Source organism: Homo sapiens, chromosome 12 (assembly GCF_000001405.40).
Source record: "Homo sapiens chromosome 12, GRCh38.p14 Primary Assembly".
NCBI lineage: Eukaryota > Metazoa > Chordata > Mammalia > Primates > Hominidae > Homo > Homo sapiens.
The window spans coordinates 18,242,312-18,255,528 of record NC_000012.12 but is presented as its reverse complement, the minus strand read 5'-3'; the positions used below and the strand labels follow the sequence as shown (position 1 = coordinate 18,255,528).

Here is a 13,217-nt window from a genome sequence, read left to right as displayed (position 1 = left end):
GCGCTGAACATGGCAAAGCTGTATTATAGGTTCTCAGTGTCATCTTAGATATAAAAGAAAGAAAGTAAAAACACAAGTGAGAGAAATTTTGTCTTGTTTACACGGCTGCATTTTGGGTACTTTTGTTATAGAATTAGATCAAAACTGTATTAACTCCTACAGTAGCCATAAATTCAAGTAATTATTGTTCTTAAAAAGTTACTTATAGAAAATAGAATCAGAATAGACTCAAACTATTTCTTTTTTTCTTTCATTTATTTGTTTGTTTGTTTGTTTATTTATTTATTTATTTATTTATTTATTTATTTATTTTTGAGACGGAGTTTCACTCATTGCCCAGGCTGGAGTGCAACGGTGCGATCTCAGCTCACCGCAATCTCCACTTCCTGAGTTCAAGTGATTCTCCTGCCTCAGCCTCCCAAGTAGCTGGTCAGGCATGTGCCCGACTAATTTTGTACTTTTAGTACAGACGGGGTTTCACCATGTTGGTCAGGCTGGTCTCAAACTCCCAACCTCAGGTGATCTGCCCGTCTCAGCCTCCCAAAGTGCTGGGATTACAGGGGTGAGCCACTGCGCCCGGCCTGAGCCACTGAGCCCAGGCCTCTTTCTTTTTTTAAATTTTTAAGTGAAAATTTAAATTTTTTAAATTAAGAAATTATTATTATTATTATTATTTTGAGACAGAGTCTCACTCTGTCACCTAGGCTGGAGTTCAATGGTGCAATCTTGGCTCACTCCAACCTCTGCCTCCCGGGTTCAAGCAATTCTCTTGCCTCGGCCTCCCGAGTAGCTGGAGTAGCTGGAACTACAGGCACATGCCACCATGCCCAGCTAATTTTTGCACTTTTAGTACAGACTGGGTTTCACCATGTTTGCCAAGATAGTCTCAATCTCTTGACCTCATGATCCACCTGCCTTGGCCTCCCAAAGTGCTCGGATTACAGGTGTGAGCTACCACGCCCAGCCCAAACTGACTATTTTTAGGTGCAGGTCCAAAATGAGAATATTACAAATATTACAAAAACTTGATATTAAAAAATTATAATAAAATATATATGTTTATAAATAACTTTCCCCAGAGAATATGAAAATAAACAAGTCATCTATTGAATATTAATGCTACTAATCATTAGATTAATTTAAATAAACAGATTCACATCTTCGAGATTCCTACAGCTCTCCACATGGTTTGGTAAAGAGCCAAGAAACAGTGGTCATAGATGGACCTCTGGAAATGTGATTTCATAAAGTCTAGGGTTCCATTCTGAAAAGAAAAACAAAACAGTAAGAATGGAAAGCAGTCTACCTTAGATCATTAAGTGAGTGTAAAGTTAATATTCAACAACTAATACAAAGTACACAAAAATAGAGGGTTGGTTTTTAAATTCTTCTAACTCTTTAAAAATAAAATAAGAAAAACATATATTCTTCTATTCTCAAATCTGTTGATTAAAGTAAACTGCTCATGTTTCTCCACTTTAAGCACTAGGCTCTTAGGATGCATCTTTTTTTTTCTTACTCAGGTTTGTCTCTTTGGAGCAGCCTCAGAAAATGCTCACTGCTTTATGGCTTCTAGGGTTGCTGGAGTGAGAGAAAAACTGAAACATGCAATCTGAGGAATGAGATGCAGAAGATAAGGTTTGGCTAATTGCTGTCTTAAAATGAAAAAAAAAAAAATAATTGAAGCCACCAGATGGGTTATTGGCTAGTTTTATCACTAATCATTGTGTGTTACCATAATGGCCAGATAATTAGAATATAGAACATAAGAGATAGTGATGATCAAGCTGGAATTACTTTGTGGACATTTGGGAAACACATAAATAGTTATAGTCCTTCAAGAGTTTCATTGCGCTACAACTCCAGAGTGTGGCGGTCACTGTGCTGGTTTCCTTTATGCCTATTTTTACCTTTTAAGGTTTCAGTTATTTAGATAAGACCTTTTTAATAGCTTCTCCTGTACTTCTGAAATTGCATTGGTCTTTATCTAAACAAATCTTGAGGTATTTATATCTTTCTGACTCGTATGATAATATCTGTGCATATATATACATATACACACACACGTTTTACTCTCCCACTATAATATGGAATCGGTGTTTTATTCACATACCTTTGCTTCTTGATTATAATAAGCACCAATTTTTTTTAACAACTGTCTATAGGTCTTGATCCTGCTTCTGTGCCTTTTGTGTTTCCACATCTGTTTTGTATTACTTCTACCGTGACTATATGTGTTACAAATAAGTTTTTTTAATTTATCGACTTATTTATTTCTTTATTCATTTTCTTGCCAACTGGAGACAAAGCTGATGCAACAAGGAGATAAATTTTCCTTCTTTCCCATAACATTTTGTAGCACAGCTTTTAAAAATGTTCTCTTTAAAAAATCTATTCTTTGAATATGATCATTTTTCTTGAGATATAATTTATACACAGTGAGACGCATAGATCTAAGAGCACAGCTTGATGAGTTTTGAAAAGTGCATAGACCTGTCTTATCTTGTCAGGATATGGAACATTTCCATCATCTCAGGGAAAGTTTCCCCATACGTCTTCCAAAACAAGTGCTACCTTTCCTCCCAGAGACAGTCACTGTCCAAATTTATATTAATGGACTTCAGGGCATGCTACCCCAAAATATGGCATTTTGGCATTTAAGGAAAGAGCAGAAACAGGAAACTTACTCTCTGACCTTCTCCTGCCCTTCTCCCCTGAAGCAGGTTGTAAAAGAATTCTCTGCCTTCCTTCCAAACTAGGTCATAAGACTTTTCTTTGGAGAGGTACCCTCCTCATACATAGAGAAAAGAAATGTATATGTTTCTGAAGACACAGGGACACAGAGTCGAATTTGAACAAACAGGCCTTGCTGGTTCCCCCAAGTTTATTACCATTAGATTATACATATCCTTTTGTCCTTCAACTACATTCCTGCACGACTAGCCACTTCTTCATTGAATTTAGCATAAAAATATACAAGTGTCTATTTCTTTGGGTTTTCATTTCTGAAGGCTCCAACACCACACAAAACTTTTATTCAATACATTTATATGCGTTTTGTTAATCTTTTATTACAGGTGACTTAGCTATGAGCCTTGTGATAGGTGAGGAAAAGATATTAGTTTTTCTCCTCCACATTATTGTCATATATTATTTCCATCTTTATAGATTTGTTGGATTATGCGGTCTTGGGTGAAGAGTAATTTGTCTGACAGAGAATATACTGTTGCGTCAATTTGATAATATTGGGCTTGATTACAGCAGGGTGAGAGACTAACCTTGCTCACTGAGCAAAATTGTGTCAAGGATTTGCACCGTATTAGTTCTATAGTTTCGGTTATATCCTGTACATAAGTTGTTATACTCAGAGAATTGTAATAACCTTTTTCTATATTTGCCTGAGAAGTAAAAATATTGATATGACTCGGAATATTTGATCTGCTTAATTTCTAACATGAATATTTGAAAAATTTATGTCCTGTAGTTTTTTAACTGAATGTTCCTTTTCTGAATATGTCTTTTCTGGAAAAAACTAATTTAAGTATTTACAGAATAAGTGTCATTTACACATTTAAAAATACTTGAGTAGAGTCTATTGCATTCAGAGATGGTGTGTTAGTAGAAACATGAATATTACAAAGTGTCACGTGTAATTTTGGTATCTTCATTCCTTTCTTCTTAAGATAAATTACTAGCTTAATTTGCAGACATCCTCCCAAATCCTGAAAATGACTGTGGTATGCATATTTCTATAATACATTGTAAATTGAGATGATAGAAAAGCCTTAATTTAACAAAAATCAAGCTATGGTTATTATTAATTTTTAAGAATCCAAATATTTGTGCTACGTATTTCAAGAAAAACAGATTAAGTATAATAGTATGACTCTTCAAATTTTAAGTGATGGATCTATGCCTTCCATTTCAACAGATATTTTAAACCATGGTGCATTGTGAAGATAATTTCATAAAAGTAAGAGTGGGACACATTGATGTATTTGTGATACTATAGGCTACACTAAATACATTGCACATGATGAATTTCAAATATATTTCTAGTCATTGTCTACTGTTATCACATGCTTAGAGTTTTACTAGAGATGCATTTGTAGTTTGTGTGATATAACAGGTAGTAAACAACAAGGCTCAAATAGACAAAAAAAAGCTCCCAGTATATAAATGACTATGACTAAAATTTCCAATTCTTCCAAAAACTGTAAGTTGACAGTTTTAAGTGGACTTTTCCATTCTAAATATAACAGTTTTCATTTGACCACTGAATAGGTTCTTGTTGCTTACATAAATAATGTGCTATAAATACTCACAATCTCAGGCAACATCACAGATGTTCTCCATCTGTCTTTGCATAGAAAACAGATCAATTTACTGTAGTCGAAATTTATTACATATAATGCTACATATGTTTTACTAGGCAAAGATTTCTAAAAACTCTAGAAAATTCAAGAATTAAGGAATTCTACTCTCTTTTCTGATTTCTTTGCTCTTTCTTCAATTTCCCCATACACTTATTAAATCCTCAGGTTTTAATAATGCCAGAAATATTTTAAATAATCACTAGAAGATCCATGAATTTCTATAGTTAATTATCTGATTTTGCACATGAATTCTCTGATTTTACGTATATTTTGAGTATAATACAATTATATGGCATGAAATGCTATTCAAATGCATTTATAGATAAATTTTATTAAATGTTAAAGCAGAAGTTGGTATTTCTCATGTAAGCCTGGCCTACTTTTCTAACATATCCCTTAATATTTTTGCTTATTTTGTTTTTAATATTGCACTTTCTAAATTGTTGTACTGCTAGTTTGCCTAGACAATTAGGTCACAGACATAGGAAAATGGTGATTTTAAAATGTTAGCAAGGAAAGGGCAGTAGGGCATTTATTTAATTTGAATACTCTTAGAATTGCAGTTAACTTGGATGTTAATGAAGGGAATATCTGCTTTGTTTCTGAGGGAAAGCAAACCTGCGTTTTTAACTATTCTACAGCGCCACCTTCTGGAAATGAAATGCTTCTCTAAATGTCAAGAAGCTCCTCGTGATTGTGGCTAAAAGAACTAGGACATGAGAAAAATCATGCCTTATGAGAACTATATATTATTTTTCAATCAAATATGTTTTTTCCCTTTGGGAGTATGAAAAAGGACAATAATGTACGGCAAATTCATAATAACAAAATGTTTTTCGACCGCTATACTGGGAATAAAATTCTGTCAATTTCACTTTTTTTTCTGTTGGTACAATTAAATAATAAAATTGTCCTGCTTCCATAATATGTGCCATTTTATATTACCTAGATATAGTACATAAAATGTATAAATCTATTTTCACCATAATAAGAACAAGCTAATTGTTAGCAGTTCCAGTCGATATTTTCTAAACTAGTGAACTTAACATTTTGTTTGCTTGAGACAGGAGAAAATCAGATTTTTCTGACTAATTCTGGTTACATTGAGTGAGCTAAACTTACAATTAGTTAGAGTTAAGATCTGTGTACAGGGCATCCCCCATTTACCTCCTTCAAGGAAATATTATTTTCACTGTGATATTATTAAAAGGCTTTTTTTTTTTAAAAAGGAACTATTAGTATTTATTAGTTGGAAGCTTATTCGAGTTAAGATGGGTTTGTAAAGAAAAGTTTAAAAAGGACAGTTTTATTTCTGAAATTTTAGCTTTGTGAAATATAAGATATTTCTGAGTTTTCACTTTTTTAATGAAAAAAGTTAGCAGAAGATTTTCAATTTCTAATTTCTGTTTAATTTATAATCCTGGTTGCTAAATGACTATGTAGATATATACTGTTCAAATAATATTAATGGTATCATACAACTGTTTGGCTAAATCTGGAGAAGCAAATTTATTTAGTAGTGAACAGTCGCTCCTGCCCATGATAGATATTACTAATTGATCTTGGCTCTATTTCTTACTTAGCCAGGAAGCTGTTTATACGATACTTTGCTTTAAAGTGCTATTCAATTTAATTTATGAAACATGGTTTATGGATTAACCAGGGCCTAGGAGGACCATGAGTAGGATGAAAAGGAAAATACTTGTAGTGGAAGTCAGGGAGAAAGAGAAGCAAGTAATACCAATTTTAAAGAAAAAGTGAAAACGTAGTTACTTTATCAATATAATTTATGTTGGAAATAGAGTTTATAGTATCAAACTATCTTCAATTAAATTCCACCATTAGATATTCATTCCTCTGAAAGTAATCATTTTTATTCAACAGTAAATACCTTTGAAAGGTCAAAAACATAATGCTATCCTAGTCACTAACAGTTCTATTAACTTTATTTCTTAAAATATCAGTCACCTTAGAAACATCTTTTCTTGAGTAAGGGTGGTGGCAGGGAATGAAGTATAACAGATATTCTAGCACAGCGTACAGTCCAAAAAGAGCAAATGCCATAGGAAGAGAAAAATAACAGATTGATGATATTGTCTAAGAAGAAATCCAACAACTTTCAAGCCTATTAGGTGCCAGATACTGTTTTATGTGTTTAGGATAAAGAGAATATGCGCTAGAGTCCTAATAACAAAAAAAAGCACCTTACAGGGTCAGAGAAATATGCATAAATGGAGATGTTTGGAAACTTTTCATTTAATTCATTATCATGCCTGGAAGTAGTACAGAGGGTAAAACAACCTACAAATAAAACACATTTATGTGTTTTATGTGTTGCCAATAAAACACATTTATGTTGAGTAATACATTTAAAAACACTCAGAGAGAAAATAAATCGCCCCAAAGACATATAAGACAAGAGCATGGCATACCCAAAAGTGTTGTTCATATATAAATGACTTTACATACATAAGAAATATGATGATCTTAAGGAGCATTGGTTAGTAATAGAAACGTATAAAAATCAGCCACGAAGTTGAAGAATTGTTGTTGTTGTTGTTGTTGTTGTTGTTGTTTTGTTTGAGATGGAGTCTCGCTCTGTCACCCAGGCTGGAGTGCAGTGGCGCGATCTCGGCTCACTGCAGGCTCCGCCCCGGGTTCACACCATTCTCCTGCCTCAGCCTCCCGAGTAGCTGGGACTACAGCGCCCGCCACCTCGCCGGCTAATTTTTTGTATTTTTTTTAGTAGAGACGGGGTTTCACCGTGTTAGCTAGGATGGTCTCGATCTCCTGACCTCGTGATCTGCCCGCCTCGGCCTCCCAAAGTGCTGGGATTACAGGCGTGAGCCACCGCGCCCGCCCGGAAGAATTCTATCCAAATACTACCCATGTTAATAGGTAAAACATATTTTAGTTGCAAATTGGTTTAAGGAGAAGAGAGGGAGAGAATTTACAAATTTCTAGGTTTATAGAAATTTAAAATTCAAGGGTACAGTTGACTTGAGACACTGCTTGAGCTCAGAATTTAATACCATCACCAGAAATTGGTTTTTCTTTCTCCCTGTCTCACCTGTGCTTTTCTCTGTGTCAGCTCCATTCTCAGGTACCGTTGGCAGTTTTCAGGTACCATTTCCTTGGTTTACAATCCAGGTAGTTAGTTTCTGCTTCTCAACAATTCTCAATAATTTGATTCTCACTGGTACAGGAGTTAAGAATAAATTACTTAGGCAGATAGTAAGGGTATGGGAGTCCTCGGTAAGGCTTTCCTTTTTAATGAAAAGCAGTCCCAAATCATTTTCTAACAAAGAGCAGCCTGTAAAGTTGAGGGGCAGACACAGAGAAGCAAGCTGGGAGCTTGCACGTGTGAATGTGGCAGGAACTAAGGACTAGACATGTTCAAGATGGCGGCTCCATCTTCCCTTCCTTTTGTCAGGCATATGTACAATAAGAAGCAGACAAGATGGTGCTGATCAACTGGAAAGTCCATTTGCATTGTAAGATTAGGGTGGAGTGACCAGCCTTCCCCTTGCCTGCCCTATGTAAACGTCATACCTGATGGAACAAATCTGTGAGCCCTATGTAAATCAGACACCACCTCCTCAAACCTCAGACCATAAAATCCTATGCATTGGCCACCAGTGGGTCACTTCGCTAGGAAACACCTCTCTCTATAGAGACAGCTGTTTCTCTTTCTCTTTCTTTTCTCTTCTGCAGATTAAACCTCCACTCCTAAACTCTTGGTGTGTGTCTGTGTCCTAAATGTCTCTGGCACGCGACAACAAACACCAGGGCACATACCCCAGATAACGTAGCTGTTTCATCAGTGACTCTAATTGTCCTGTTTTTCTCTTCCTATAGATGTTGGGTGTGTCAAAGTAGAGATGTCCACACATCTATCTTGGGAGAAAAAACTGGAGTCTTTTAAGTATTATAATTCCATAATCCAAACCTGGTTCTCTATTTCTGAGAGATATTAATAGATGTTCTGCCTATTTCTCCAAAAATTCTATTTAGGAAATGGGACTTAGGAGACTTTCCTCTTAGACATCAGTAATGAACACTGGCATATTAAAATCTGGGAGAAGTCTTGCAGTGAGAAAAATTTATAGAATTTGAGTACATATTATGTTTTATATAACATATGATTTTCCTTCATGAGACCATTGAGATATAGTTTGGGAAATTATAAGACTATCTCAAATGTAAACATAAATTATTCTCGTTATAATAGCCTCTTGCCATTAAATATTTAAATGATAGTATTCGTCTTCTTATACACCAGAATATGCCAAGCAAACATTTGGTTATAGTATGAGTCTCCAGCTAAGTCTACTGGTGAGGAGAGGTTGTCCTAGACCTGTCCACAAGACAATTCCAGTCTGAATGACTGCCGTATTGCTGATGGTAAATTACAATACTTCCCCATTTGAGGCTTCTAAAACACAGATGCCCCCATAATCTCTTAAAGTACTTTTCAGTTCACATGCTTTATCATTTCATCCTCACAAAAATTCTGTGAACAGATTGGGTGAATGAAAATACATCTTCTTTACAGCTGAAAAATTGAGAGTCAGAGGGGAAAATGGAACTTGCTTGGAGCCACCAAGAAAGAATTATAAATCCGGGAATCTAACCCAGATCTTTGACTGCAAAATAATATTTTATAATAAGCTTGTTTTTGAAAATTGTGCTTTCTACCTTTTAAAACACCACCAATATTATAATCTATAATATATAAATTGGACTCAGTATAATACATCAGATTCACAGCCAGAAGTACTGTGTGTTTTCTTATGAGAAATGGATTCACTTGTGATGGGCTGAAAATATCAGCTTTCTAAGTCTGCAATGTAGTTAAGTTTTGATCCCGAAATTTGGTATATTTAACCAGCTATGCTTCATTGGGAAGCCACCTAGAGGCCAGCCAGCTATCATGTTTTGGAAGCACCCAACTGTCCTTTTAAGGATTTTCTCTGGCCTTCAGTTTTGCCCATTGTGGTTTGATTTTGCAAAAGATGATCATGGTACTGTTCTGAGAAGCTCAATGAATCTTATGGAGGGCTCAAATTGAGATAAAGATACTTCTAAAGCTTTGCAATTAAAATTTATTTCTCAGCTAAAACCTTAACTTCTTTTAAAGGGCAATATATTTTATTCTTGATAAGCTACCAAAAATTTTAAAATCATGAAAGCCAATACTAATGAGGTTTTGCAAAAAATTGTGCAATATTCGACTAGTGGCAATGGTAACATTGCTCTAGGTAGTCCATAAAATATTTAAGTGCTCTAATTCTAGAAACTCAAGTTGCGAATTTATAAATAAAAAAATATGGTAATGAAATGGAAAAACTTACAATAAATATTTTAGCATGAGAGTGATTTGTAACAGTGAAAATTTTTGAGCAATCTTATTACCAAACCACAAAGAGATGGTTAAGCAAATAATGCTGTATTAGATAAAGGGAAAATTCTGTTATCACTAAATTTGAATGTATAACGACTAGCAACCTTAAAAATTGTAAGTTACATATGCAGTGCATCCAATTGTACATTATAATGATAATTAATAAAATGTGTAATTTAAAAAAATTTAGATGGGAACATTGAAAAATGGAAGACATTATTTCTGCTTGTGAGGATACAGTAGATTTTTTTCCCTCCCAAATCACTCTTGGGTAATTTTTAATACAGATTTTTTAAATGAAGTAACAGAATGCTGTAAAAATATTCAAAGGAAATCTAACAATTTTATGATAAAATATTGAGATGTAAGTAAATCTTTCACTACGGAGTAGGTTTTTTCCCAGTGTTTAATTATATCACACTGACATCAAAATGTGTAAAATGCAGCGCTGACTGAGTTAAAATTGGAATTCACTGGAAATGAGAGGTTCTAAAACATGAAGGATCGAACGTTGTTTCTGAGTAAGAGATGCTCCCAAACATGAATTATATAAAATAGACTATGCCTTGTTTATTTTTTATTACGAGTTTTCCTATTTTTTCTGACTCACAATAATTCCTCAATTGAGGCTTCTAAGATACAGATGCCCACGTAATCTCTTAAAGTATTTTTCAGTTCACATGCTTTATCATTTGATCTTCACAAAAATTCTGTGAAACAGATTGGGTGAATAAAAATACATCTTTACAGTTGAAACATTGAGACTAAGAGGGAACAGAGAACTTGCTTGGAGCCACCCAAAAGAATTATAAAGCTGAAAATATAACCTCGATCTTTGACTTCACAAATAATATTTTATAATAAGCTTGTTTTCAAAAATTGTGCCTTCTTCTTTTTAAGATGCCACCAATATTATGTATAATCTATGCTAACTCCATATTGCCATACATTGCTTCTGAATTACTTCTGAGATTAATGTTCATTGTTAGAAAAATATTATAAGTGTCCCCAGGACAAGACTGGATCTTCCCTTTAGTTACTCTTCACATTTGGAAGCAGCTTGATAGCATCGCGGCAGTGCCTAAGACATACCTGATTAAATAATGGCTGGAAATTGTAGTATTTTCCTGATTTGATTAACACTTTAATTTACTTGTAAATCACTTTTAGAGATAGCGTAAAATGCAGAGAAAATGATTGGATTTGTGGATCTCCTGGATAAATGTAGTTTTGAGACCCAGAAAGCAGGTATGAGATAAGCTCAGAATTCTACCAAAAGTACGGAAAAAGTTCTTGTTTACTAAATTTTCTGTTTTATTATACCTTTTAAGCAATTTATCAAGAACCCCCAGTATTCCACTTTATTAAACAATCTAACATATTAGATTCTATAATTTATTTTCTACTAATGGTTTGAATAGAGCTCACTATACTGGAATTATCTTAGTATTCTTTTATTTTTATTTTAGGCTCTGCTATTAGCTGATGGTTATTTTATTACCTTTACTGACTGGCAGTTAGATTTCTATCCTGTTACAGATTATAGAATTTGGGGTAAAATATATTTTTCTTCTAGACATTTTCTTTAGTGAATAAAATTATTTTGCTTGATTTGGCATTTTGAATTTACCAAGATCATTTTGACAACTAATGTATTTTTAATCACTATTTTATGCTATACTCATGTAATATACCCTCTGTTCTCATAGTTATTACCACACTGTACCTTGTGCTTAATTCTCCCTTCTTCTCTTACTGAATATAAGCTCTGGAAGGCAGGGACTCAGTCTTAATTTTCTTGGTATTCTTTTGTCTGTTATAATACCTAGCACATAAACATCCTCAGGATGTTCAATAAATTAGAGTTTATAAGTGCCTTTTACATATTTTAAAAAGTCTTCTGTTTTTTTTCTGTTGTATTTTCTAGAAACCTAATTTACATTATTAAAGTAGCAAATCCAGTGTGAAGCTGGGTGTCACATTTAGAGTTTCTGAATTTGAAATTCTATTTGAAAATGGAGGAATTATAGGAAATGGGAGTACGCATTAAAAATGAAAGCCAGTTTCATAAACTAATAGACAAAAAGAAATCTAAATTGATGGCTCCATAACAAGCACTTTAGTTTCTCACCACTTGTTTCTTCAGGGCTTAGTGTCTACTCTCACTAATTATAATTTTTCAACTGCACTTGATAATTGTGATTAAAATGTTTTTAATTATCTGTGTTTTTAATTTTAATTTACCCCCTTGTTTTCTTTGAATTTGAATTGTACTTTGGGCCAGGTAGAAGTCACATACTGACCTTTAACATATGATTTAACCTTTCTGGGATGGTGCCATCTCTAACAGAAGAGTTTTCAACCAAGATCACCAACAATTTAATTACTGTAGTAATTATTCTTTTAAAATTTTTTTATCTGAAAAAATTTTTACCCAACACCTGCAAATGTAGTAATTATTCTTGCTTTACTCTATTCTGTCAACAATTTGTTATCTAGGAAAATTATCATTGAAATTAAAATACACACACACACACACACACACACACACACAGAAAGACTTTATAGGATTTAAACTTTATGAATTAATAATTTTATAATTATTCAGGCATTTCTGATTACATAAATCAAATAATCTTGATGTTGAAAACTTCATTTCAGGATACATTTCATAGTACAGTGTACATTTACATTACTTACCTTATATGTTCTTCTTTAAGTTGTATTTCTCTGGCCAGTAGAAATGCCAACAGGGCAAGGTCAGAGGCTCGTTTCGTGTTTAATGATTCACTATAACACTGTGAAAGGAGTTTTGGTCTCTGTTGATTTTATCTTATCAGTTGCTACACAAATAAAACTACATGTTCCCATGATCGGTTTGAGCACCTTGAGTGACTGGGAAAATCAGTTTTTCCAATCTCTTCCGTTAACACTTACTATTGACACACTTAATTCATACAACTTAACTGTTACTAGTATTAATTTAGTTGTTTAAACTTCCCTCTTTCATTAACTTCCAAGAACTAAGATAGGGGATCAGTGCTATAAAAGGGCTTTTATAAATTTATCTTAGAAAGTTGATTATTTGAAATTCTCACCTTATTTTGCTGTTACCCGCCTAAGATCTAAAAGTACCATCGATGACTCAGCAGAGTTGGAATGAAAGGTGTATGTTGTTGCTTTGTCGTGTATCTCTTCTCTTGTAAGAATATATTGGCTTCATTTTCCTCTTAAGGCATGGAGTTCAGTCTATACAGCCCTTCCCAAAACTTTGTGGCCTTGGGCATCTTTTATAATCTAAAAGATAAAAACCTCTGAAAAGACTTAAGATTTGCCACATTAGGAATTAAAATTCAGAAATATTTAAAATACGTATTTAACATTTTATTTTAAAACAACAATAATAAACTATTGCTTGGCAAAATAAATCATATATT

General features: G+C 33.7%; 1 protein-coding gene across 11 annotated transcripts in view; it reads right to left on the bottom strand.

The window, feature by feature from the left end:
- Nucleotides 1-12,568, bottom strand: part of PIK3C2G (phosphatidylinositol-4-phosphate 3-kinase catalytic subunit type 2 gamma) — a 483,857-nt gene extending 471,289 nt beyond the window's left edge. For all 11 annotated transcript variants that reach the window (XR_931307.3, XM_047429007.1, XM_017019471.2 and 8 more), the window contains exon 1: nucleotides 12,481-12,568. The gene's annotated coding sequence lies outside the window, so the exon portion shown is untranslated. The remainder of the gene's footprint in view (nucleotides 1-12,480) is intronic.